General features: G+C 38.1%; 1 protein-coding gene across 11 annotated transcripts in view, besides 1 other annotated feature; it reads right to left on the reverse strand.

Annotated features, from left to right (window-relative positions):
• Positions 1–27,503, reverse strand: part of TTC28 (tetratricopeptide repeat domain 28) — a 701,827-nt gene that overhangs the window by 349,642 nt on the left and 324,682 nt on the right. The gene's annotated exons all lie outside the window — the stretch shown is intronic.
• Positions 23,054–24,752: an enhancer, noted in NCBI's record as "VISTA enhancer hs1645". NCBI's record gives its function as "enhancer in: dorsal root ganglion[9/11] | trigeminal V (ganglion, cranial)[8/11] | cranial nerve[8/11]" and the evidence as "EXISTENCE:transgenic organism evidence [ECO:0001131][PMID:17130149]".

The raw sequence follows: 27,503 nt of genomic DNA on the forward strand, positions 1-27,503 counted from the left end.
AGAATTAATTGCATGTTTTGATTAGAGGAAAAGGAAACCATTTTCCCCTTGGCTTTGATTCCCAGTGAAGTGGCAAATGTGTAGGGGCCTACTGTTCACTGCCCTCTCCTAGAGCTCTAAAGCAGGAAGCAAAGAGTGGATACCTGCATCTATAAGTAGAGGTATAATATCTAACAGTAACCGTATCAGCTACTAGTCATTAAATGTCTCCAAATTTACCAACACTCTTCCAGGTGTTTTATATTCATTCACTCATTCTTTAAACAACTATGTGCCTGACAGCTCAGTGGCAGGCATTGTTCCAGTGAAAATTCAAGAGAGAAAAGATAAACATGGTCCCTTGTCTACCTTAAAGCTCAATATCTAGTGCAAGAGACAGGGAGTAAACACACAGTTAATACAATAAAATAAATTGTAAAAGTGCAATAAAGAAATAAAACATGTAATAAAGAATAATTAAGAAGGAGAAATACCTTATTTAAAAACATGCTCTGGGCTAGGTGAGGTAGCTCATGTCTACAATCCCAGCATTTGGTGAAGCCAAGGCGGGAGAATGGCTTGAGTCCAGGAGTTCAAGACCAGCTTGGGCAACATAGCAAGACCCCCCACCTCTACAAAAATATAATGATTTAAAAAAATAGCCGGTCATGGTAGTGTGCACCTGTAGTCCTATCTACTCTGGAGGATGAGGCAGGAGAATCGCTGAGCCCAGAAGTTTGAGATTACAGTAAGCTATAATCACACCACTCCACTTCAGCCTGAGTGACAGACAGAGACCCTGTTTCTTTAAAAAAATATATAAAAATAAATAAATAGGGCCAGGCGTGATGGCTCACGTCTGTAATCCTAGCACTCTGGGAGGCCGAGGCGGGTGGATCACCCTAGGTTAGGAGTTCAAGACCAGCCTGGCCAACCCGGTGAAACCACGTCTCTACTAAAAATACAAAAATTAGCCAGGCGTGGTAGCAGGCACCTGTAATCCCAGCTACTCGAGAGGCTGAGGCAGGAGAATCGCTTGAACCTGGGAGGCAGAGGTTGCAGAGAGCCAAGATCGTGCCACTGCACTCCAGCCTGAGCCACAGATCGAGACTCTGTCTCAAAAATAATAATAATAATAATAATAATAATAATAATAATAATAATAATAATATGTTCTGAAGAGGTATAAGCTGAGAACTAAGAATGATAAGCTAACCAAAGAAAAAGCACTACAGAAAGGAGTACAAAGGCCTGAGACTGGGAAAGGTATGATTAGGTTCATAGAATTCAAAGAAAGCCACTACATTAACAAAGAATGGCATGAGATGAGTCATTTAGTTCCCATTTTCAAAAAGAGAAACCTGATTTCAGAGAGGTAAAGAAACTTACCCAAGTTGCACAGATAGTGGGCAAGAATTCAATCTCAGGGTAGATTGGTTCAAAATTCTGTGTTCTTTTACCTATGTCATGCTGCATCCGACTTTCTTCTTGCTGTCCTATAACTTACCCCCAATAACTCTCCTGTAATTGTGTAAATATACATATATAATGTATGTATAGATATATGTATGTATGTGTGTGCATATATATATACATACAGAGTATTATACATGCATGCAGACACAAAGCTTAAAGAAAAATAAGCATAGAAACCCAATAAATAGGACTTGATGCCAACAAGTACAGTTGAAATACACTGTTTCTCTGTCAGTGTACATCCCAGGATCTTACGTACTTTAAATAGTCACATCATACTGCTGACACATGTTCAGTAATTACATTATCATCCTCATTACATCTCTATAACCACTTGATGCCAGGGCTTTCTCTCAATCACAAGCTAATATAGCTTTCCCCGATGAGACATGAAAAGGAAATGGCTTTTATTTTACAAAAATAAGGTAAAGAAAGGTTAAATTTTACAATGTCTTCCTCTTAGCACTTTACAGTTGTCCTAACAGGCAGTTTTGTTTTGCCCTTTACAGACACTTTAATGCTGAAATGTTCTGTGCCAGGGACTCAGGTTTCCCATTTTCTTTCTCTGTTTTTGTTTTTTTAGGTAGTTATTTATGTGACTGTCCTCCTAACCAAATGGACCAATCTGGGCATAAACCATTTTCTCATTTTCTCTGCTTATAGAAAGGAATGCTTTATTTCAGCAGTGCAGATAACATCTTGAGGTCTCAGGAGGATGACAAATTGAAACAGTTTCTTTCTTGCCTAACATTTCTTACCCAAGAGTCAAGTGACGATGGTGGAGAACAAATCTCTCTTCTCCTGACAATTTGCACTTATTTTCTTAATAGCTCTGCTAAAATTCAGTGAATTTCATTTTGCTTAGAGCCTACTTAGTCCCTGCCAACAGGCACAGGAAGCTTTCATTCATCAGCACAGTAGTCCTACTGGTGATGCATTCCTATGAAATTATGACAGCAATTCCAAAAACAAAACAGCAGGGATGGGGCAAATGAATTCTTTTTCAAAAAGAGCCATCAGAATAGCATAGCAGTTCCTATATAACTAGAAACTTAATAAATAATTTTGATTGAGAATCGTTTAGAAATTTTATTCAGGTATAATATCAATGTAGCTAAAAATGACCTATTCCCTAGTATTACCTATATTTCACAAAATCATTTGAAAACAAGCACAACCACGAAATACAACTGCATAACTCTTTTCATAAATTCAGGTCTTGGTAATGCTGCACAAAGACAGCACCATTCACAGACAACTGGGGCCTCGATTGGCTGAACAGCTCCAGATTTATGGTCGTCTTTGACTTGTTAGGGTCCCTTGCACCACATGATTATGGTGTGCTATTTGACAGATACCTTTTTTGCATCAATGATGTGACTCCATACCTTTTCCAAAGACTGCAAATTGCTAACATTGTTCCCTTTGTCATTTAAGCTCTCTTTCTATAAAACGTAAATTAAAACTTACTATTTTCTAGTATTATTTGTTGACAAGTTTTAAATGGCAGTATCAAAACGATTTCCTATTTTTAATGAAAGGGATCTTTGGCATCTTATCTGTAACAATTTCACCTTACATCAAGACTGTATTTTCTACCCATTATGTACAAAGGTTTTCAGTGCAAAGAGGGTATATAAGAAAAGATAATTAATAGCAGTCAAAAAGCATATAATCAACTTGGGGAAATATATAAATGCTGCACATTAAACAATTAAAGAGTTGTTTCAAAGCAACATAAGAACAAGTGCATGTAAAAATTTAATGTGGGTCTTCCCCAGCTTACAAAGGAATTGTATTCCAAAATTGTATTTTTAGGTCAGTTATCTGGAATGCTTTAAGCATTTTTTCCGTTTAAAAATTATGCTGTAAAGATTGGTTATATTCACCAGCCAATTCTAATGGCCTAGTTCATGCAAAATGTCACTGAATTATAGGACTAGCAATATTACAGAAAGGAGAAGAAATGGAACTGAAATTCATTGGTAAACTACAACCACCTTCACACGAGTAATCTTATTTAGTCTTAATAATTCTGCAAGGTAAATTATTATGTCTTCCTTTAAAGGTAAGGCTCCTGAAGCTGATAAAGGTTAAGGACTTGCCTAAGCTAAGAGCTTGTAAGTGTCAGAACAGAGATTCAAACCCAGAACTGTCTGCCTCTGAAGCCAGGACTCCACTCCTAGAATATGCAGTTTCCTTTTAAAAAAGTATATATAAGGAAAACCTTTTTCCATATTCCAAATGAAAATGTTAGGAATATGCTCCACAGCCCCAAAGATTCTGGAGTACAGAAACAATGCCTTTTCATCTTTCTGTTTCCAGCACAGGTTTGACACAGAATAGATAGCCAATGATTACTGAATAAATAAAAAAATTAACAGGAAATGAGTTCCTCCAAAGTCAGGGTCATCTTTTATCCATATGTATATACATATAGCCTAATACAGATACATAATCTATCCATCAATAAATATTTAATAACTAAAGAATTTCATCTTACTTGTACACCTCCTCTCATTCTGCTTTTTATAAATAAGCACTCCTGACCACTTCCAAATGTATTCATTAAACTCAGTGTCTTTCAAACTCTCAGTTCCTTCCTCCCTTCTTGCCTTCAATGCTGAAATCCAGAGAGAATAAATCCATATTTACATCTTTTATGTGGCTAAGCATGCTCCCCAGCTAGGACAGAAATGAATTTAACCTAGGAAGCTTTACCCATAATACTCTTGGATCTCTGAGCTTGAAAAAGATGCACTACCCCTTGGGGAGAAATTATCCAAACTAATATCAATAAAGTGGATTTATCCTGTCCAGAGGAAATGCAAATGAAACTTGGTTGCATCAACTTTCTGAAACTACACTTCTAAAGCAAATTAAGAAACCCATTTCAAGCTGTTTGAAAGGAATGTTGGCTGACACTTGCATATGAGTCTTCTACAGAGAAGTAGCTCTGATTCTGCAGCTTATCATTTCAAATGGTTTTAGAGATGAATATTCAGATTTCACGTCAATTTTTAATGTAATAGAATCCCAAATGCTTAAAAACTAGGTTCCACTTCATAATCTGTCATCCTCTCTACCTTCTTTCAGGATACATTAATTTTTTAATAAGCTCTTTTAACTTAGCTCCGAAGATGCATTTTTTAACCACTACAAGTAAAAAACAATGCATAAGGTCCCTAATTAATATCTTATGTAAAGAATCCTTGTTAATTATAAAATTGTGACCATAATGAAATGAAAATATAGACTTAATAGAAATACAAGTTCTGAATTTCTCACATTAAAAGCCCTTGAAAAAAAAGTCAAATCATTCTCTTAAGCTCACAGATGACTATATTTAATGTCCTACAGCAACCATGTTGATTATTTTCAAAATTATTATGAATATTATTAATGGCAAATGTTAAACTACCAAATATTCTGCAATACTGGTAAGTACTCTCTGAAGTCATGGCTCAGCAATTTCAGTGTACACACATGGTGAAACAAGAGAACCAAGAACAACAAAATCTTCATTCACTTCAGTACAATAGGCTCAGAGCAATGAAACAGAAATACTCATTTGTAAAACATACTTTATATCCACATTTAAATGCCTAATTAATCCTAACAATTAAATGCAACCACTAAACGTTTCCTTTGCAAGATATCTTTTTTATTTCCATAAACTTGAAATCTAATGGAAATCATTGTGTCATTATGGCTAAGGCAATAAATGCCTATTGGTCAATAAGCTCTGAACCTTAACAGGCAGTTAACTAATTCAGCTGGAAATAAGACCAATAGTTCTAATGGCTCCTAATTTCACTGGAAGAGTATACCTTTATGAACTATAGATGGTTTTCATGAGCTCTTCCTACAGCAGAGAACAGCAATGTAAATGTAAAAAACATGCATTTGAAATTCAAGTGCTTACACTGATTTCATTTGCCAGGGAGACCACAGATCAAAAGAGGTACTTCAAATATTTAAGTTAAATAGGCAAGACCAATGCAAACAAAACTAAAACAATTTTAAATTACAAGAACCGATTTAGTCTATTTCAAAATCATTCAGATTTTCTTTTGCTTATTTCAAACAATCTGAACCAATTTTTTAAAAAACTGGACAAATGTTAACAACTGTAAATACACCTTGTAATAAAAACAAAAAGGGAGGTTAAGAAACCTGATCTCTTCCTGCTGTATCACTCCTCTTCCCCTGAGAATGAGGGCCTCTTAATTTCAACATAAATAGATATAAATAACTTAGTATACAGATATCAGTACACTTGAAATCATAATAGTCTGGAGACATCAGTATCCACTCAAAACCTGATCCATTCAGCTATATATCTCACATTGCAACAGCAGAGAAAGCATTTCAAGCAATCAGGTAAGAACGTCCCTTTGCTCTATGATGCCAGGGAGTAACTTCCATATGAAAATGAACTAGGTTATATTTACTGTTCTGCCAATCTTCAATTCTGAACTGATCATTTTGTGTTTCTAACCACACTTCTATAGCAGCTACACCTATTTCCAGAAATGTCTTAAATTACACATTTCAGCTCCTCCTTCCAAATGACATTTAATTTAAAAACCATTTTGCATACCAAATTTTAAAACCCTATATTTATTAATCACTTACTTTGTTAATTATGGTGAAAAAAGTTAAATCAAAGTATTGTGGCATAATTTTGTACCGAACTTGTGAAACACCTAAGGAAAAAAAATCACTGTATTTTCTTTATTTTTTATTTTTTATTATACTTTAACTTTTAGGGTACATGTCCATAACGTGCAGGTTTGTTACATATGTATACATGTGCCATGCTGGTGTGCTGTACCCATTAACTCTTCATTTAATATTAGGCATATCTCCTAATGCTATCCCTCCACCCTCCCCCCACCCCACAACAGACCCCAGTGTGTGATGTTCCCCTTTCTGTGTCCATGTGTTCTCATTGTTCAATTCCCACCTATGAGTGACAACATAAGGTGTTTGGTTTTTTCTCCTTGCGATAGTTTGCTGAGAATGATGGTTTCCAGCTTCATCCATGTCCCTACAAAGGACATGAACTCATCCCTTTTTATGGCTGCATAGTATTCCATGGTGTATATGTGCCACATTTTCTTAATCCAGTCTATCATTGATGGACATTTGGGTTGGTTCCAAGTCTTTGCTATTGTGAATAGTGCCACAATAAACATATGTGTGCATGTGTCTTTATAGCAGCATGTTTTATAATCCTTTGGGTATATACCCAGTAATGGGATGGCTGGGTCAAACGGTATTTCTAGTTCTAGATCCCTGAGGAATCGCCACACTGATTTCCACAATGGTTGAACTAGTTTACAATCCCACCAACGGTGTAAAAGTGTTCCTATTTCTCCACATCCTCTCCAGCACCTGTTGTTTCCTGACTTTTTAATGATACCCATTCTAACTGGTGTGAGATGGTATCTCATTGTGGTTTTGATTTGCATTTCTCTGATGGCCAGTGATGGTGAGCATTTTTTCATGTGTCTTTTGGCTGCATAAATGTCTTCTTTGGAGAAGTGTCTGTTCATATCCTTCACCCACTTGTTAATGGGGTTATTTTTTTCTTGTAAATTTGTTTGAGGTCACTGTAGATTCTGGATATTACCCCTTTGTCAGATGAGCAGATTGCAAACATTTTCTCCCATTCTGTAGGTTGCCTGTTCACGCTGATGGTAGGTTCCTTTGCTATTCTTGTGCAGAAGCTCTTTAGTTTAATTAGATCCCATTTGTCAATTTTGGCTTTTGTTGCCATTGCTTTTGGTGTTTTAGACATGAAGTCCTTGGCCATGCCTATGTCCTGAATGGTATTGCCTAGGTTTTCTTCTAGGGTTTTTATGGTTTTAGGTCTAATATTTAAGTCTTTAACCCATCTTGAGTTGATTTTTGTACAAGGTGTAAGGAAGGGATCCAGTTTCAGCTTTCTACATATGGCTAGCCAGTCTTCCCAGCACCATTTATTAAATAGGGAATCCTTTCCCCATTGCTTGTTTTTGTCAGGTTTGCCAAAGATGAGAGAGTCATAGATATGTGGCATTATTTCTGAGGGCTCTTTTCTGTTCCATTGGTCTATATCTCTGTTTTGGTACCAGTACCATGCTGTTTTGGTTACTGTAGCCTTGTAGTATAGTTGGAAGTCAGGTACCGTGATGCCTCCAGCTTTGTTCTTTTGGCTTAGGATTGACTTGGCAATGCGGGCTCTTTTTTGGTTCCATATGAACTTTAAAGTAGTTTTTTCCAATTCTGTGAAGAAAGTCTGTGGTAGCTTGATGGGGATGGCATTGAATCTATAAATTACCTTGGGCTGTATTGCCATTTCCACAATATTGATTCTTCCTACTCATGAGCATAGAATGTTCTTCCATTTGTTTGTTGGGCAGTGGTTTGTACTTCTCCTTGAAGAGGTCTTTCATGTCCCTTGTAAGTTGGATTCCTAGGTATTTTATTCTCTTTGAAGCAATTGTGAATGGGAGTTCACTCATGATTTGGCTCTCTGTTTGTCTGTTATTGGTGTATAAGAATGCTTGTGATTTTTGCACATTGATTTTGTATCCTGAGACTTTGCTGAAGTTCCTTATCAGCTTAAGAAGATTTTGGGCTGAGATGATGGGGTTTTCTAGATATACAATCATGTCATCTGCAAACAGGGACAATTTGACTTCCTCTTTTCCTAACTGAATAACATTTATTTTCTTCTCCTGCCTGATTGCCCTGGCCAGAACTTCCAATACTATGTTGAATAGGAGTGGTGAGAGAGGGCATCCCTGTCTTGTGCCAGTTTTCAAAGGGAATGCTTCCAGTTTTTGGCCATTCAGTATGATATTGGCTGTGGGTTTGTCATAGATAGCTCTTATTATTTTGAGATACGTGCCATCAATACCTAATTTATTGAGAGTTTTTAGCACGAAGGGCTGTTGAATTTTGTCAAAGGCCTTTTCTGCATCTATTGAGATGATCATGTGGTTTTTGTCATTGCTTCTGTTTATATGCTGGATTACGTTTATTGATTTGTGTATGCTGAACCAGCCTTGCATCCCAGGGATGAAGCCTGCTTGATCGTGGTGTATAAGCTTGTTGATGTGCTGCTGGATTCGGTTTGCCAGTATTTTATTGAGGATTTTTGCATCAATGTTCATCAGGGATATTGGTCTAAAATTCTCTTTTTTTGTTGTCTCCACCAGGCGTTGGTTATCAGGATAATGCTGGCCTCATAAAATGAGTTAGGGAGGATTCCCTCTTTTTCTATTGATTGGAATAGTTTCAGAAGGAATGGTACCAGTTCCTCCTTGTACCTCTGGTAGAATTCAGCAGTGAATCCATCTGGTCCTGGACTTTTTTTGGTTGGTAAGCTATTAATTATTGCCTCAATTTGAGAGCCTGTTATTGGTCTATTCAGAGATTCAACTTCTTCCTGGTTTAGTCTTGGGAGGGTGTATGTATCGAGGAATTTATCCATTTCTTCTAGATTTTCTAGTTTATTTGCGTAGAGGTGGTTTATAGTATCATCTGATGGTACTTTGTATTTCTGTGGTATCGGTGGTGATATCCGCTTTATCATTTTTTATTGCATCTATTTGATTCTTCTCTCTTTTCTTCTTTATTCGTCTTGCTAGCAGTCTATCAATTTTGTTGATCTTTTCAAAAAACCAGCTCCTGGATTCACTGATTTTTTGAGGGGCTTTTTGTGTCTCTATGACCTTCAGTTCTGCTCTGATTTTAGTTATTTCTTGCCTTCTGCTAGCTTTTGAATGTGTTTGCTCTTGCTTCTCAAGTTCTTTTAATTGTGATGTTAGGCTGTCAATTTTAGATCTTTCCTGCTTTCTCTTGTGGGCATTTAGTGCTATAAATTTCCCTCTACACACTGCTTTGAATGTGTTCCAGAGATTCTGGTATGTTGTGTCTTTGTTCTCATTGGTTTCAAAGAACATCTTTATTTCTGCCTTCATTTCGTTATGTACCCAGTAGTCATTCAGGAGCAGGTTGTTCAGTTTCCATGTAGTTGCGCGGTTTTCAGTGAGTTTCTTAATCCTGAGATCTAGTTTGATTGCACTGTGGTCTGAGAGATAGTTTGTTATAATTTCTGTTCTTTTACATTTGCTGAGGAGTGCTTTACTGCCAACTATGTGGTCAATTTTGGAATAGGTGTGGTGTGGTGCTGAAAAGAATGTATATTCTGTTGATTTGGGGTGGAGAGTTCTGTAGATGTCTATTAGGTCCGCTTGGTGTAGAGCTGAGTTCAAGTCCTGGATATCCTTGTTAACTTTCTGTCTCGTTGATCTGTCTAATGTTGACAGTGGGGTGTTAAAATCTCCCATTATTATTGTGTGGGGGTCTAAGTCTCTTTGTAGGTCTCTAAGGACTTGCTTTATGAATCTGGGAGCTTCTGTATTGGGTGCATATGTATTTAGGATAGTTAGCTCTTCTTGTTGAATTGATCCCTTTACCATTATGTAATGGCGTTCTTTGTCTCTTTTGATCTTTGTTGGTTTAAAGTCTGTTTTATCCGAGAGTAGGATTGCAACACCTGCCTTTTTTTGTTTTCCATTTGCTTGGTAGATGTTCCTCCATCCCTTTATTTTGAGCCTATGTGTGTCTCTGCACGTGAGATGGGTTTCCTGAATACAGCACACTGATGGGTCTTGACTCTTTATCCAATTTGCCAGTCTGTGTCTTTTAATTGGAGCATTTAGCCCATTTACATTTAAGGTTAATATTGTTATGTGTGAATTTGATCCTGTCTTTATGATGTTAGCTGGTTATTTTGCTCGTTGGTTGATGCAGTTTCTTTCTAGCCTCGATGGTCTTTACAATTTGGCATGTTTTTGCAGTGGCTGGTACCGGTTGTTCCTTTCCATGTTTAGTGCTTCCTTCAGGAGCTCTTTTAGGGCAGGCCTGGTGGTGACAAAATCTCTCAGCATTTGCTTGTCTGTAAAGGATTTTATTTCTCCTTCACTTATGAAGCTTAGTTTGGCTGGATATGAAATTCTGGGTTGAAAATTCTTTTCTTTAAGAATGTTGAAAACTGGCCCCCACTCTCTTCTGGCTTGTAGAGTTTCTGTCGAGAGATCAGCTGTTAGTCTGATGGGCTTCCTTTGTGGGTAACCCGACCTTTCTCTCTGGCTGCCCTTAACATTTTTTCCTTCATTTCAACTTTGGTGAATCTGACAATTATGTGTCTTGGCATTGCTCTTCTCGAGGAGTATCTTTGTGGCGTTCTCTGTATTTCCTGAATTTGAATATTGGCCTGCCTTGCTAGATTGGGGAAATTCTCCTGGATAATATCCTGAGAGTGTTTTCCAACTTGGTTCCATTCTCCCCATGACTTTCAGGTACACCAATCAGACGTAGATTTGGTCTTTTCACATAGTCCCATATTTCTTGGAGGCTTTGTTTGTTTCTTTTTATTCTTTTTCCTCTAAACTTCTCTTCTCGCTTCATTTCATTCATTTGATCTTCCATCCCTGATACCCTTTCTTCCAGTTGATCAAATCAGCTACTGAGGCTTCTGCATTCATCATGTAGTTCTCGTGCCGTGGTTTTCAGCTCCATCAGGTCCTTTAAGGACTTCTCTGCATTGGTTATTCTAGTTAGCCATTTGTCTAATTTTTTTTCAAGGTTTTTAACTTCTTTGCCATGGGTTCGAACTTCCTCCTTTAGCTCAGAGTAGTTTGATCATCTGAAGTCTTCTTCTCTCAACTCGTCATTGATCATCGTAAGCCTTCTTCTCTCAACTTGTCAAAGTCGTTCTCCATTCAGCTTTGTTCCGTTCCTGGTAAGGAGCTGTGTTCCTTTGGAGGAGGAGAGGCGCTCTGATTTTTAGAGTGTCTGGTTTTTCTGCTCTGTTTTTTCCCCATCTTTGTGGTTTTATCTACCTTTGGTCTTTGATGATGCTGATGTACAGATGGGGTTTTGGTGTGGATGTCCTTTCTGTTTGTTAGTTTTCCTTCTAACAGTCAGGACTCTCAGCTGCAGGTCTGTTGGAGTTTGCTGGAGGTCCACTCCAGGCCCTGTTTGCCTGGGTATCAGCAGTGGAGGTTGCAGAACAGCGGATGCTGCAGAACAGCGGATATTGGTGAACAGCAAATGTTGCTCCCTGATCGTTCCTCAGGAAGTTTTGTCTCAGAGGAGTACCTGGCTGTGTGAGGTGTCAGTCTGCCTCTACTGGGGGGTGCCTCCCAGTTAGGCTACTCGGCGGTCAGGGACCCACTTCAGGAGGCAGTCTGTCCATTCTCAGATCTCCAGCTGCATGCTGGGAGAACCACTACTCTCTTCAAAGCTGTCAGACAGGGACATTTAAGTCTGCAGAGGATTCTGCTCCCTTTTGTTTGGCTATGCCCTGCCCCCAGAGGTGGAGTCTACAGAGGCAGGCAGGCCTCCTTGAGCTACAGTGGGCTCCACTCAGTTCAAGCTTCCCGGCCGCTTTGTTTACCTACTCAAGCCTTGGCAATGGCGGGCGCCCCTCCCCTAGCCTCGCTGCCGCCTTGCAGTTTGATCTCAGACTGCTGTGCTAGCAATGAGTGAGGCTCCATGGGCGCAGGACCCTCCGAGCCAGGCATGGAATATAATCTCCTGGTGTGGTGTTTGCTAAGACCGTTGGAAAAGCGTAGTATTACGGTGGGAGTGACCCGATTTTCCAGGTGCCATCTGTCACCCCTTTCTTTGACTAGGAAAGGGAATTCCCTGACCCCTTGTGCTTCCTGCGTGAGGCGACGCCTCACCCTTCTTTGGCTCACACTCAGTGGGCTGCACCCACTGTCCTGCACCCACTGTCCAACACTCCCCAGTGAGATGAACCCGGTACCTCAGTTGGAAATGCAGAAATCACCCGTCTTCTGCGTCGCCTACGCTGGGAGCTGTAGACTGGAGCTGTTCCTATTCGGCCATGTTGGCTCCCTAAATCACTGTATTTTCTAACCTCTAGTTCAATCATAATCACACTTCCTGCAAAACATTTAGACTGTTCTCCCTGATCACACTAGACAGGGAATAAGGAACAAACCTTGGGCTGGTCCTACCCTTATTATGGACGAGTTACATGAACCTCAATTACTTTCCTTCTCTGGGGCTTCGTTCCATCATTTCTAAAGTGAGGGGTTGGAGTAAGTGACCTCTTAAGGTGCTTTACAACTGTAACATTCTAAAATCACATTTCTATGAAATGTGATCTTCTTTGCCTTTAATTATTTATAGAGTGGGTAACTGCTAAGGCATACCAAACGTCTCCTTCATGCCTCCAAATTCACTATAATTTGAGACCTTGTGATTACCACACTTGGTTTCATTTCAATGTCAACTTCTTTCCTTTTCAAACATTTTTTTCCTTAAAAAAAAAAAAAAGAAAAGAAGAAGAACACCTAATATAAAAATCTTGGATAAGTAATCTGTCACCACCATCCTCCCAAAGCAGGGCAACCTTCTCCTTTTAACAAAAACACATGTGATTGGCAACAAGGGTATAAGCCAGGCTATTTCTTTCCATGTGTTAATGAACTTATTGCCAAATGGAAGTCTTTCCTTAATTCCAGACCAGCAAACACCATTTTCTGATGAAGTAAAATGACAAAGTACTAATTACCAAGAACCTAATCTGAGTCACAATCCTCTTTAATTGGAAGTTACTGCAGTAATTATTCACAAGTCACATTATCATTAGACCAAAGAAAAAGTCAAAATTGATTTATACATACAGGAACCCCTAATAAACAGGGTCTACAATGAAGGTCCTTTATAAAATGACCAAAGCAGAGAAAATAACATTTTACATTTTAATATATGCTCCACATTGGTTGTTGCTCAGATGCCTTTTTCCAGCATTAAAGATACCCTGAAATACCAAATTAAACTAGATGACTAGGAAGAAAAATTATTTTAATTTAAAGTCTCCAAAGGGTACAACATGTAGCATCTTTTGAGAAGCCTAAAACAATGCCAAAGATGACTAATGCCCTAAGGATCCTAAGATGCATCTATCTCTAAGGTCAAAAGAATACTGCCTTTGTTCCAAGTTCACTTGGTAATTCAGATGAATTGAAGATAAATGTAAACAGGAATTGTGGGCAATTGGAGACAAATATATCAAAACAATAGAGGAAGAAAAAACTGCTCCATTAATTGCAAGGCCATAATAACATGGGTAAATGTCTTGTTTCTTTTGGAATTTATTCAACTTCCTGATTCTTTTCTTACAAGCTTTTGCAATTTTGAATGAGCTCAGCTTATATTATACAGACATTTTTGGCTGGGGGTAATGCCTGTAATCCCAACACTTTGGAAGGTGGATGTGGGAGAATCACTTGAGGTCAGGAATTTGAGACCAGCCTGGGCAACACAGTGAGATCTCATCTTAACAAAAAATAAAAATAAAAATTAGGCCAAGTACAGTGGCTCATGCCTCTATTCCCAACACTTTAGGAGGCCGAGGCAGGTGGATCACTTGAGGTCAGGAGTTCAAGACCAGCCTGGTCAACATGGTGAAACCCTGTCTCTACTAAAAATACAAAAATTAGCGGGGCGTGGTGGCATGCCTGTAACCCCAGCTACTCGGGAGGTTGAGGCAGGAGAATTGCTTGAACCCGGGAGGCAGAGGTTGCTATGAACCGAGATTGTGCCACTGCACTCCAGCCTGGGTGACAGAGTGAATGTGACTCCATCTCAAAAAATAAAATAAAATAAAAAAATAAAAATAAAAATTAGCCAAACATGGAGGTGTACGCCTGTAGATGCAGCTACTTGAAAGGCTGAGGTGGGAAGATGGCTCGGGCCCAGGAGTTCAAGGTTACAGTGAGCTATGATCATGCCACTGAACTCCAGCCTGGGTAACAGAGCAAGATCCTGTCGCTTAAAAAAACAGAAAAAAATTTAAAAAACAAAGATATTTTAATGTTAGTAAATTTTGCTATTTATTTGTACTCTGAACATGTTTAAAACTCTGTAATAAAAAGTGATCTATCTTTGGGTTTCTAAGAGCTAAAATTGTTTTTTGTGTTAAATTTCCTAATTGATACATGTGGTCTGGGTTAGGAAACTATGTTCTAAGTGCATCATTAACATGTTTCTGTAATGTTAAACAAAAAGCTAATATTACTTTAAATTATTTTACAGTTAAGCTTGAGATTCAGACTCAAATACTTTATGCTGATATATTTGTTGCTTTCATTAATCAAAAACATATCTATCAACTGAAAGAGAGTAAGCTGGATTTCCACTGCATTTAAGATTTATATTATTCTGATTAAAGAATATATGTTCATTCTAGAAAATTTAGGAAAATATAAAAACACAACCATTGCCCAGAGACCATCACTTTCATTTTTGCTTATATGTTGCCAATATTTTCTATTCTGACATATGCTATTTCACAAAACTTGAAATTCATCTAAACTTTTATTTTCGGCTTAAATTGCTTTAAAACAGTTATTTTGTTACATAATTCTCATAGATAAAAATGGACAAAGCAGGATAAAATATATATGTATGATACACAAAAAACGGTGGTATATGAAATGCACATACATACGCATATATGAAAAATCATGTGTTAAGAGCTCATCTTTCATACAGATCCAATCAAATTTACATTTTAGAACTGAAATATCATAATTCTACCAAATAAGCATATCTACACAGTATGTCTAACTCATAAGCTCTTGATCACATTATAGCCACACAATGCAGACTAACCAGACAAGAGAAGCTATAATAAAGTATAAAACATTTTCCAAATAAGTCTGAGAAATTAACATAGGCATGCACAGACCTAGACTAAAATTTTTATTAGGTCCACGAGAGGAAATTACAAACCTTTCAATTCACATCAGTCTTTGCTACTAGAGAACCAACTACTCTCACAAAATAAAGTGAAAATAAATATTTTCACTATGAAAACATCTAGTTGGTGGCAGAAGACAACATACACACATAATGAAAAAGTATAACACCTTATGAACAATGCATACAAAATGTATTGATTTACCTAATATTAAGAAGTATCTCCAAAATGTATAATCCATGAAATTGTTTAAAAATAGAATAAAATAAAACACAACGGAGATTAGACAGAAAAAAATAGACGAGAAAATCAGATGTAACTTTAAAAGCTTCTGATACAGGCCAGGCACAGTGGCTCATGCCTGTAATCCCAGCACTTTGGGAGGCCAAGGCAGGTGGATCATTTGAGGTCAGGAGTTTGGGACCAGCTTGGCCAACATGGTGAGACCCCATCTCTAGTAAAAATACAAAAATTAGCCAGGTGTGGTGGCAGGTGCCTGTAATCCCAGCCACTTGGGAGGCTGAGACAGGAGAATCACTTGAACCCGGGAGGTGGAGGTTACACTGAGCCAAGATCATGCCACTGCACTCCAGCCTGGGACACAGAGTGAGACTCTGTCTCAAAAAAAAAAAAAAGCTTCTGATACAAAGGGATAACAATGTCCTCTGCCTAATTCAAAAATTTCAACAGATTACTTTTATGGAGCACAAGTAAGTCCTTTAAGTGAGATTTGTAGAATGTGACACTGGAGATGAATATACTTTAATTTGTAACATGTGAAAACATCTATAAACATCTACTGGAGCCTGTTCTGTCTGCACCAACATTTTCATTGAGTACGTTCTGCCTACCAGATACAGCTGCTCTACAGCTTTCAAGGGCTGGTATAAAACTAGCTTTTACCTATTTTTTAAAATTACATGAATAGTAAAAACTTGGATTAACCCAGTATTCTGGTATTTTCAATTTCCTTGGAAGCTTAGAGGAAGGACAAAGAAAAGGATTCTTTATTTCAACATCAAATATACGCTATTGTTTACATATTAATATAACCACATATATGTATAAATTCAGTTACTTTTTAGCAATACTATAAAATCCAACAGAAAAAAATAGCATTTACTATTTCTAAAAAGTCTCATTCTTACAGTTATTTGATATCTGGCCTATGCCTGTGAAACAATGTATTAACCACACATATACCAATCCTATAATCACTAGTCTAGCAATCTAGTATGGTGTCTAGAAACACAACTCAGAAATTAAGCTATATTCAAAACAAGTACCTTCAAGTTGTGTCTTGAAGCAGTGCTACTCACCGAAGAAGAATGAAACATATATTCTCTGAAGCAACATTACCATAAAAATCCCAGCAAATTCAACAAGACTTCTGTTAAAATATTCTCAACTCAATAAGCTTTCTTCAGCTTTCTTTCCTGATGCAAAGGATCTGATATTAAGATCTTTTTGAAATATGCTTAAGAACTAAGACATGACAAATACCTTATTGTTAGTATTGAACCATGACACTGACACCACTAGCCAAATCCAAGAATATGAAAGCATTAAGGAAACTGTAGGAATGGATCTCTAACATGCTGAAAGATCTAGAAAGTTTAAAAGAAATATAATTGAAAATACATATTCTTTTGATTGTTATTAAATAATTATAACTGACAGGCACTCCATTTATGCCCCAACCCAAAAATTATTTTATATTCATCCTAATTCTATAATCTTCATGCAATAAGATAGAGTCCACTGTTAGGATAGTAAAGTTTCCTGAAGGTATCAGAAAACAAGTCTCCCTAACCTTAATTAGGAAAAAGAAGGAAGAGTTTTTCTCTCCTTTCATCTCCAAAGGAGCTCCTAAGGCTCTGTCCCCATGTGAAACCGGAGGTTAAATCATTCTTTGATTAATAAGGAGTGAAAGAGGAAGGAGAAGAAAGGAGAGGACTAATATGAGCAGATCTTTACATATCAGACATTTTACATAAATTAATGTTCTCAGCCACCCCAAAACATAAGAATTACAATTCATTATTTTCAGTGAAGGAGATGAGATTCAGACGGTAAGCAGCTTGCCTCACGTCACATCACACACATTTCTTAAGCAACTGAGTTAGGATTCAAACTCAGATCTGACTTCAAAGCCCCCACTCTTTACACTGTAGTATGCCGCCTCCCTGACTGAAGTTTTATTCAGCGTGGTTTAGTCATAATACCATTCTGTATCAAAATAAATAACTTTAACCAGCTGGTCTTAATATCATAGAAACTGAAATTAAAAAGAAAATCCCACAACAGCCGCAAATATTTGGAACCACAAAGGAATATGTCATACTACAGCCAATAAAGTTCTAGTTAATAGAACATCCAAAGCTAGACCCCCAAAATAAAAACTCACAGGAAGGAGAAAAAAATAACTGCTGCCAAAATGCTAATAATCACCCCCTAAAAATTCTTATACAGTGCATGGGACTATTGAATCCTCAAGTCCGGAACCATCTCCTTTCCAAGCCCTCCTTTTTTCCCATTCCCTTGGCCCTGCTCTTGTAAGAGAGCTAAGGAGGCTGGGTAGCTGAGGTGCCTGCGATGACCTTTTATGGATCTGCCTGAGCTTGCTCACAGAGCCCAAGGCAAAGCAACTTTGAGGGTTTGGCAAAGAAACTCAGTTTTAGTTGTTTTTATTTTTAAAAGAAAACATCATCACAAAAACACTGATGCTCTGGTTACAAAGACAAGAAATATTTCTAATGAGGCTCAGTCTCTTTTTCAAAGACTTTTATTGAATAGAAATCAGAACTTAAAACCCAGGAAGGCATATTATATTGGTTTTACGAAAACAACAAAGAATCATGAAATTACAGGGCTTGAAGGGAGCTTGAACAGTAACGTAGTACAACCTCTTCACTTCAAACAAACTGATATTAAAGTATTTAAAATAAATGGGAATTCATTCAATATTAAAACATCTCAGAAAAAAAGTCACAGGTAAGAAATTGTTTTCTATAAGTAACCTGAATCAGTCAGTCTACCTTACAAATCTGTAAATTTTTATTCAGTCTTCAGAGTAGAAGTTGGTGGAGATGGTGGTTTGTGTGAAAGAAAGGAAAACAAACATTATCAAATGTCAAGGCCCTATCCTGGATGCTTTTTTAAATATGTTTTCACGTATTCTTTATAACAACCTGTAAAACAAGTACTACTAGCCCATTTTACTAAGCAGAAATTGAGATTCAAGAGGGTAAATAAATTGCCCAAGGCCATAAGGTAGTTCATAAGGTAGTTAAGATTTGAGACATTAACTCAGGTCTGTCTAACTTCCTACATGTTGGTTCATAGTTCATCATTCTTTATACCAGTTATCGCCAAACTTGTCAAAACGGGGTACTAAAGTGTTGCATTACTTTCATTCTAATGTATCAGATTGGATTAGGGACCACAGCCTGAATATCTGGGGACAAAGACATGTACTGGCCAACAGCTCTTCTTTGAAACATTGAGGCTACTTTATGTTCACTGGAAAATTCCGAAAGCTAAGACAGGTGACACCAGCTCCAAACTCTCACTAGAGTTTGGCAGGAGGAGATCCAAGCTGGCTAACAATGAGCCACAGAATACCAGGGAAAGATCCAAAAGCTGTCACCACCTGTTAGGGCAAGTGACTGATAATAGCTCTTGCCAAGTGACAAGGAGTGGGACTTGTGGACATAACTTTCTTGCATATCCATGAAAACTGCCTAACAGCTATCCTTGGTGTACATTTAATAGATCTCCAATCTCTGTAACGCAAGACTCTTTACATTCAGACAATGTGTACATTTAGAGGAAGGGGAGCAAGGAAAGGATAGGATGAAATAAAGATGCCTGAACCACTGTTCTGGGAGATAGGGTAGGAAGTAGAGGAAGGCTGTGGTTAAGCACATTGCATTGCACAGTAACAAAGGAAGCAACTTAAATCAAAGGGGAAAAAATTGTCAAGGTACAAGCAAGCAAAAACAAACAACAAACAATATTCAGTGAGGAGATCAGGGTAGAAACAAATTAAAGCTTTTAAAGGAAAGACTATGGCCGGGTGCGGTGGCTCATGCCTGTAATCCCAACACTTTGGGAGGCCAAGAAGGGCAGATCACTTGAGGTCAGGAGTTCCAGATCAGCCTGGCCAACATGGTGAAATCCCATCTCCCCCAAAAAATACAAAAATTAGCTGGATGTGGTGGTGTGCACCTGCAGTCCCAGCTACTTGGGAGGCTGAGGTGGGAGAATTGCTTGAACCCAGGAGGTGGAGGTTGCAGTGAGCCAACATCATACCACTGCACTCCAGCCTGAGCAACAGAGTGAGACCCTGTCTCAAAAGAGGAAAAAAAAAAAAAACAAAAAAAGAAAAAAGAAAGACTCTTGAAAGTCATTGCCCTTTTCTCCTCAACATATGCTCCTTCAGTTACTTCTACTCCTCTCCATTTATGGTGCACTCTATTAAATTTCATATTTCATCCCTAGAGTTTTGTTGATAGATTTTCATCACAGATAGCTTGAGAATGATCTATATATTACTCATACACAATATAGATATATAAGCGCATAAAGTACCTAAAGCCCTGAGATCACCGCGTTTACACCTAACCCCTTTAGGAGCAGGTAAGGCGCACTGAAAAGGGCGGTAGAAAGAATAGCACCTGGCTGAGTGCAGTGGCTCATGCCTGTAATCCCAGCACTTTGGGAGGCTGAGGCGGGTGGATCACTTGATGTCAGGAGTTCGAGACCAGCCTGGCCAACATGGTGAAACCCCATCTCTACCAAAAATACAAAAATTAGCCAGGTGTGGTGGCAGACCACCTGTAATCCCAGCTACTCAAGTGGCTGAGGCAGAATAATTGCTGGAACCCAGGAGGCGGAGGCTGCAGTGACAGTGAGCCGAGATCGTGCCACTGCACTTCAGGGTGAGAGAGTGAGACTCCGTCTGAAAAGAAAAGAACAGCACCTACGCTGTCTTACATATTTTGAGGAAGGAACTTAAAGCAGTGGGGTTTTGGCATCTCCCTTCAGACCTACCAGACTGGTATCAACCAATCAAAACCAAAAGCAGACTGGCTTGTTTCTTCTTTCTCAAGTAACAAACAAGAAGGAAAGAGCCTGGCACATGCCCTTCCTTCTACTGTTCCAAGTCCGTCTAGGATCTGCAGCTTGGTTTCAGACAGTCAACCTAGTGCTTAGGGCTGTTATAGAAGAAGATTCCCGTAGGGTAAAATTTGTAGAAGAAAACGGCCATTACTCTCTTAGACACTAGGAACAATGGCAGAACTCACAGATGTGGTCTAAAAATAGGAGATGCAGCTCCAGCCATTGCCCACGTGCATGGAGGCCCTCAAGTCTTTTCATACGCCTCTCATCCTTAAAAGATAGAATGAAGCTAAGGGACTAAAGAAAAAAGCTGCTATCCAGGACTCCCTGGGGCTCTCAGAGGGTACTATGTGCAAGCCTACCTAGGACGCCTCCAGAGGCTAATTCTAAGGATCCTGGAAAGATCCTGGGGCGTTCCAAGATAAGCCAAGTGTGCTGAGGAACTGAGCTCAAAATAAAGCATACAGATTTTATAACATCCTTGGAATTAACATTCACCTTAGAGGAGGTGAGGCTTCTCTGCAGCTCAGTTGAGCCAGACCTACTTCTCCATGCCTTCAAAACAGGACAGACCCACAAAGGCTACAGAAATATCCAGTTGTTTGGGAGCTGCCTTACAAACATGCGGACCTTTCATTCATGACCAAATGCTACTTAAGAGTTATAGACTACTGCTAACCAATCGATGGCTTCTGATCCCATACTCCCTGCTCAAGTGAACACAGAGAAATGAAATGTCAGGCTCTTTAAACATGTCAACTGGAAATCAAAGTGAAATGCTGAAAGAGAAGTGACAGGTCAGTGTTTCTCTCTAGTATAAATTCCCTGATGCTCACTCTTAAAAGAATCGTCCCAGTCCTTTCCTGTTTGACATTTCCTTCCTAGCTCAAGCTAAAGTGGGTCCTGTGCATAATCACTGATGAACTAAATGCCCACAAGACCACCTCAAATGACACACACAGTGCCCTGACAAAAAACAAAATCAATAATCTGCTGCTCTGTGTCACATGGAAATCCTGACTGCTGTCAGCAGACAGGAGGAGAAGGCTTGGGGGTTGCAGTAGAGACAATTAGGGCCTTTGGAAAAGCAGAGCAGAAGGTAATGAAACCTTCCCAAGTTCATCAGTTACACACACATGCATGTGCACGCACACACACACACAGACATGTACACACCCATAAAATGAAAAGGCCATGTAGCCAGAGGTCATATTTTTTCAGCCTGCTAAATTGAAATGATTCAAAACCCCTGTAATTACATAGAAACAGATGAAATTGTTATCTTAACTAAATTGTAAAAGCACTTTAAATGTCATAAGTTTTGATGCAATTTAATATTTTAAATGGACATTGCTCAGTATAGTCACTGATTTTCAACCAAACAGATGGGAACATAATCCATGTCCATTACCACGACTGAACAAATGCCCATCCATCTGCCTGAATGGTACTAAAGAATACTGCAGAGAAAGCAAAGAGCAAACTCTCTCAGACTGAAGTTACAGAAAAAGAGCACTGGAAAGGAGCCAAGAGGCTTGAGTTCCCATCTCAGTTTCTATACCTTACTGTGACTTTAGGCAAGTCACAACCTCTCTGGACCTCAGTTTCCTCTTACACAAAATAGAAATAATCCCTGCCATATGTGTGTCACTAGTTACTGTGATACAATGAGACTGAATAAATTAAAGTGTATTAGAAACATTACATATAAATGTAAGAAAGTATTATAATTTTGTGATTATGTATTGGGGCAAAATATAAAACTCATCATTTCTTACTGTAACCTAAAAAACATTTGAATTAACTTTATACTAACAAGTTGGCAAAAAAGCAAATGAATGACATGATCCCAGTGCACTCCTTGTAACCCCGAGTGCCCAACACTTCTAAAAGAAATTAACCCAATGTTACACTACAGTGAAGATGAGATAGTAATGTACAAAACTCATGTACAAAACTCGCACAATTGTCCAGTGTGTATCTAGAAGGTTGAAAGAGTAAATGTACCTCTTTTCATATCTAACTCATTAGTAGAGAATGACATAAGCACTGGAGAGAAACAGGTCCATTATCTCTCACCTTTCTTTGTCCCTTCCTACACATATTTTACATAAAATAGCAACTAAGGAAGGCTATAAGAGCAGTACTGAAGAGGCAAGTTGAAATATTAACCACATTCCAGATAAAGTATATTTTTTTCTCACAGCTATATTGACTTATTTTCCTGTGCATCTAACAGATTTACTAGCAATTTTAGGGACAGACTGTATTGTGTATATGAATTAATATTGTAAGAAAATTTGGATCTTTATTCTTAGTTTTTAGCTTTTTTCAAGGACTAATGATAGCCCTTGAATTAGTTATTCATCAAAAAGTTGTTTTTCATGGTTTAATGTGTTTTGCTCAAATCCTAAAATTTGCTTTGGGGTCAATCACAGGAATGAAAAGTTTTAGCTTTGATGGAATATTTTTTGAGGTCTAGTTTAGGTTACACTAGAAGATATTCCATACTTTGAGCTGTAAGGAACTCCCATGGATGGAACCGTATTTCTGTAATCAGTTTATCTTGTAACCATAGGCTCTAACAAACTGCTAAAGGGATCCACGGCATGCACGCACACGCACACAAGCTTAAGAATCCCTGAATTAGTGGAAAGCCATCACGACAATGCAATCAGAAACAAAGAGGGCAGGAGTTAACACACAAAAGTAGAAAAACAGAAAATAACCTAAGAGATATTTAGGAGACCCCCTTGCCTGACTTTAGATCTTAAAGTGCCAATCTATGCACACATAGAAAACCCAATTAATCTTTTACAGTAAATAAAGTTTGAGAATCACTGTTATAATCCTTAAGAAACACTTCTCGGCCGGGCGCAGTGGCTGACGCCTGTAATCCCAGCACTTTGGGAGGCTGAGGCAGGCGGATCACAAGGTCAGGAGATCAAGACCATCCTGGCTAACACGGTGAAACCCTGTCTCTACTAAAAATACAAAAAAATTAGCTGGGTGTGGTGGCGGGCACCTGTAGTCCCAGCTACTTGGGAGACTGAGGCAGGAGGATGGCATGAACCCGGGAGCGGAGCTTGCAGTGAGCCGAGATCGTGCCACTGCACTACAGCCTGGGTGACAGAGCAAGACTCTGTCTCAAAGAAAAAAAAAAGAAACACTTCTCCAGAGCTATCAGGAAAGGACTGGCAACACTGCACATAGAGAGCATCTCCTGACAACATGCATTCTACAAACAAAAGAGCTCATTCTCATAACAAACAGATCTTAGTTTTATGTGTGTAAAGAAATGGTATTTTAGTCCACCCAAAAAGAAAAATACTACCAAAACAAAAAGAAGATCATATCTTAATATAGTCTTCTATTGTTTCAGCCGTGGGCTCTCTTGATCTCAAGAATCCCATATATGCTTTGAGACGTGAAAAGCCTTTGTGAATAATTGAAGACAAAATAATGAAACCCTAGAATGTCAGAGACATATTATAGTTTTGTAGAATTCATCACGGAGCTTTTAAATTCCCAAATACTACATGCTGAATAATTTATTCCTGTGTCAATATGGGGCCAGCAGATGTTCATTCAGAGCCAATGTTAACCCTCCTCAAGCTGAAGAGCAGAAAAATGGTCTCTGCCTGAGATAGAAGAAGGCACTTAGTCTAAGTGAGATTACCTTGGTGTTTATGAGAAAATTAAAGTAGCTCTGGAAGTCAAGAAAAAACATACTAGTCAGCAATCTTTTATCAAAGTCTGCTTTAAAGATAAGGAGGAGAATTTCACGAAGAGACACAAATGGTTGATACACAGGGAGCTGATAACACTGCTCTCTTCTTTCAGAAGGGTCCCTGGGGATTTTTCACTGATTCTGTCTAAGAATATCTTTTAGTGGCTTATTGATACTTACCTCCCTCTTTGGATCACTGATTCATGATACAATTTTGAATACTCTGCTGTGTGTTCGTTTCTAGATATTCTCCCCTCTACAACCCACCCTCTAATTCAGTTCACTTTAATTAACAGGTTACACAGAATTCATTTAAGAAGAAAAATAAGGCAGAAGAAAATTACAAAATTAAGCAATAATAAAGTTTAAATTTTCACCAATGATCTATAAACTTTCAAAACTGAAAACCAATGCCTTAGATCTCATCTACTTATCCCTTATTTAATAGCTTGTTATTGAATACCAACTATGTGCAAAGTAATATCCTAGGGCTGAAAAAAGAACCTGATTAATCGAAAATTCTAAGAACCTATTAGACAGAGATATATACATATATATATATATATATATATATCTCCCGGTAAGTGCAGATGCTTGCAGTCAGTACAGCAAATATGGTATATAGGGCTATTGTGGAAAGGCACAGCTCCAAATCTAAAAACAAAGAATGAGCAGAATATATGAAAATAATCTTAGGCTACATTTCGGAGCTCATGTTCAAGAAACGGAAATTCCTAAGTGCCAGAAACAATGAGGAAATAAAAGTCAGAGAGGTAAGCAGGAGCTGGAGCCAATAAAGCTCCCAGGAAGCAGGAGGACTTAGAGTCAGTCATTAGCCTCAACCACTTGGGGGTAGCCCACTGATACCCCCTCAGCAAGAGGTACCCAGGCTGCAGGCTTCATGCAAGCTGCTTGGTAGGAATGAGCCACCTGAATAAAACCAAGAGTTACCAAGGTCTGCCCATGAAATAGGGACTGGAAAAACTGTACCTGTCCACCAGGATAGTGATGTAGATGGGCCAATTTGCACCACAAGAGTTAGATATAATTTAACAGTCTAAAAAACAGTTTAAAATAACTATGTTTCAAACAACCATGTTTAAAATGTTGAAGGAGATAAAGAAAGGAAGAGAGGTAATAAGGAGAAAAAAAGGACAGCATGAAAAATAACAAGGCAGATTTGAAAAAAGAATCAAATGGAAACTCTAGAAATAAAAAAGAGGGTACTTCATTGGGGTAGGGAACCTCAACAGGCAGTCCAAATAATACACAGCTGATAACTAGTGGCTGGGAAGATTAACCTAATAAAATCATAATGGAAATCCCAAAACACAGGACAGACAAAGAGGTAAACACAGAAAAGAATACGTTGAGACAAGAAAGCTAGAATAAGATGGTTCAAAAAGCATCAAACAAGAGTTCCAGAAGAAGTTAATAGAGAGAAAAATGTATTGCCTTATATGTTGCAAGCCAATGAGGCCTTAAGGATTGTATTTTTGGACTACTCACAAATTTTTTCAAGCTGTTATTTTTAAAATTTAAATGAATGTATGTATAAAAAGTAGACAGAACAAAAAGCCATCCTAAAACTCATATGGAATCTCAAGGGACCCTGAATAGCCAAAACAATCTTGAAAAAAGAAGTGCAAAGTTGGAGTACTCACACTTTCTGCTTTCAAAACTTACTATAAAGCAATGGTATCAAAACAGTTGTTATAATGGCATAAAGACAGACATTGACCAATGGAACAGAACAGAGAGCCCAGAAATAAAGCCACACATATGGTCGACTGATCGCTAAATTTTCAACAAGCGTACAAAAGACCATTCAATGAAGAAAGGACAGTCTTTTCAAAAAATGGTACTAAAAAACTGGCTACCCACATGCAAAAGAATGAAGGTGGACCCTTACCTTATACTATATATAAAAACTCATTTTTGCGCATCAAAGGGCACTACAAAGAGAGTAAAAAGACAACACACAGAATGGGACAAAATATTTGCAAATCATATACCTGATAAGAGATTAATATCCAGAATATATGAAGAACTCCTATAATTCAACAACAAAAGAAACAAGCAACCCAATTTTTTACATAGCCAAAGGACTTGAAGAGACATTTCTCCAAAGAAGATACACAAATGACTAACAAGCAAATGAAAAGACACTCAATGTTATTAGTTATTAGAAAAATGCAAGTCAAAACCATAATAAGATATAGTCACTTCATACCCATTAGGATGGCTATTATTTTAAAAATGGGGGGAAAAGGTGCTGGTGAGAATGTAGAGAAATTGCAACTGTGGTGCACCACACGTAGGAATGGAAAGTGGTGCAGCTGCTGTGGAAAATAGTTTGGTGTTCCTCAAAAAGTTAAACATAGAAATACCATATAATCTAGCAATTCCAATTCTAGGTATATAGCCCTCAAAATTGAAACAGGGACTCAGGTAGTTATCCAACAGTGTTCATAATAGCATTATTCACAATAGCCAGCAGGTAGAAACAACCCAAGTATCCATCATCAAATACATAGATGAATACAATGTGGTATGTACATACAATGAAATATTATTCAGCCAAAAAAAATGAAATTCTGAAACATGCTACCTCATGGCTGAACCTTGAAAACATTATGCTAAGTAAAATAAACCAGATACAAAAGGACAAATATTTTATAGTTTCCCTTATACAGGGTACCTGAAATAGGCAAATTTATATCAACAGAAAGTAAAAAAGAGGTTATCAGGGGCTGGGGGAGGAAGAATGGGGAGTCAGTATTTAATGACTAGAGAGTTTCTGTCTGGGGTGATAAAACAGTTCCAGAGCTGCAGAGTGGAAGGTGTTAACAGTTACGTATGTACCTACTACCACTAAATTATACACATAAATGGTTAAAATGGTAAATTTTATGTTATGCATATTTTACCACAATAAATAAATAAAAGAACAAACAAGAAAGCAAGCAGACAGCACTGGCACATGACTCAATGTTGCCTCTTCCTAATGTTACTGATATATATATCAACATGTCTTAACCATCTTCAAAAATAAAGAATACTCTTTTTTTTTAATATACTTTAAGTTTTAGGGTACATGTGCACATTGTGCAGGTTAGTTACATATGTATACATGTGCCATGCTGGTGCGCTGCACCCACTAACTCGTCATCTAGCATTAGGTATATCTCCCGATGCTATCCCTCCCCCCTCCCCCCACCCCACTTTACTACCACAAATATGGGTATAGGTACTTAAAAACACAGGATCTCTAAATAATCTCAAAATAATAGGCAGTTGAAGAAAATAATCATTACTGCTAATATTTATTGAGCACTTAACACTGTGCTAGCCATCATTCTCACATAAACTTCATACAAACACTATGCTATGTAT

This window comes from Homo sapiens, chromosome 22 (genome assembly GCF_000001405.40).
Source record: "Homo sapiens chromosome 22, GRCh38.p14 Primary Assembly".
NCBI classification, from domain to species: Eukaryota; Metazoa; Chordata; class Mammalia; order Primates; family Hominidae; genus Homo; species Homo sapiens.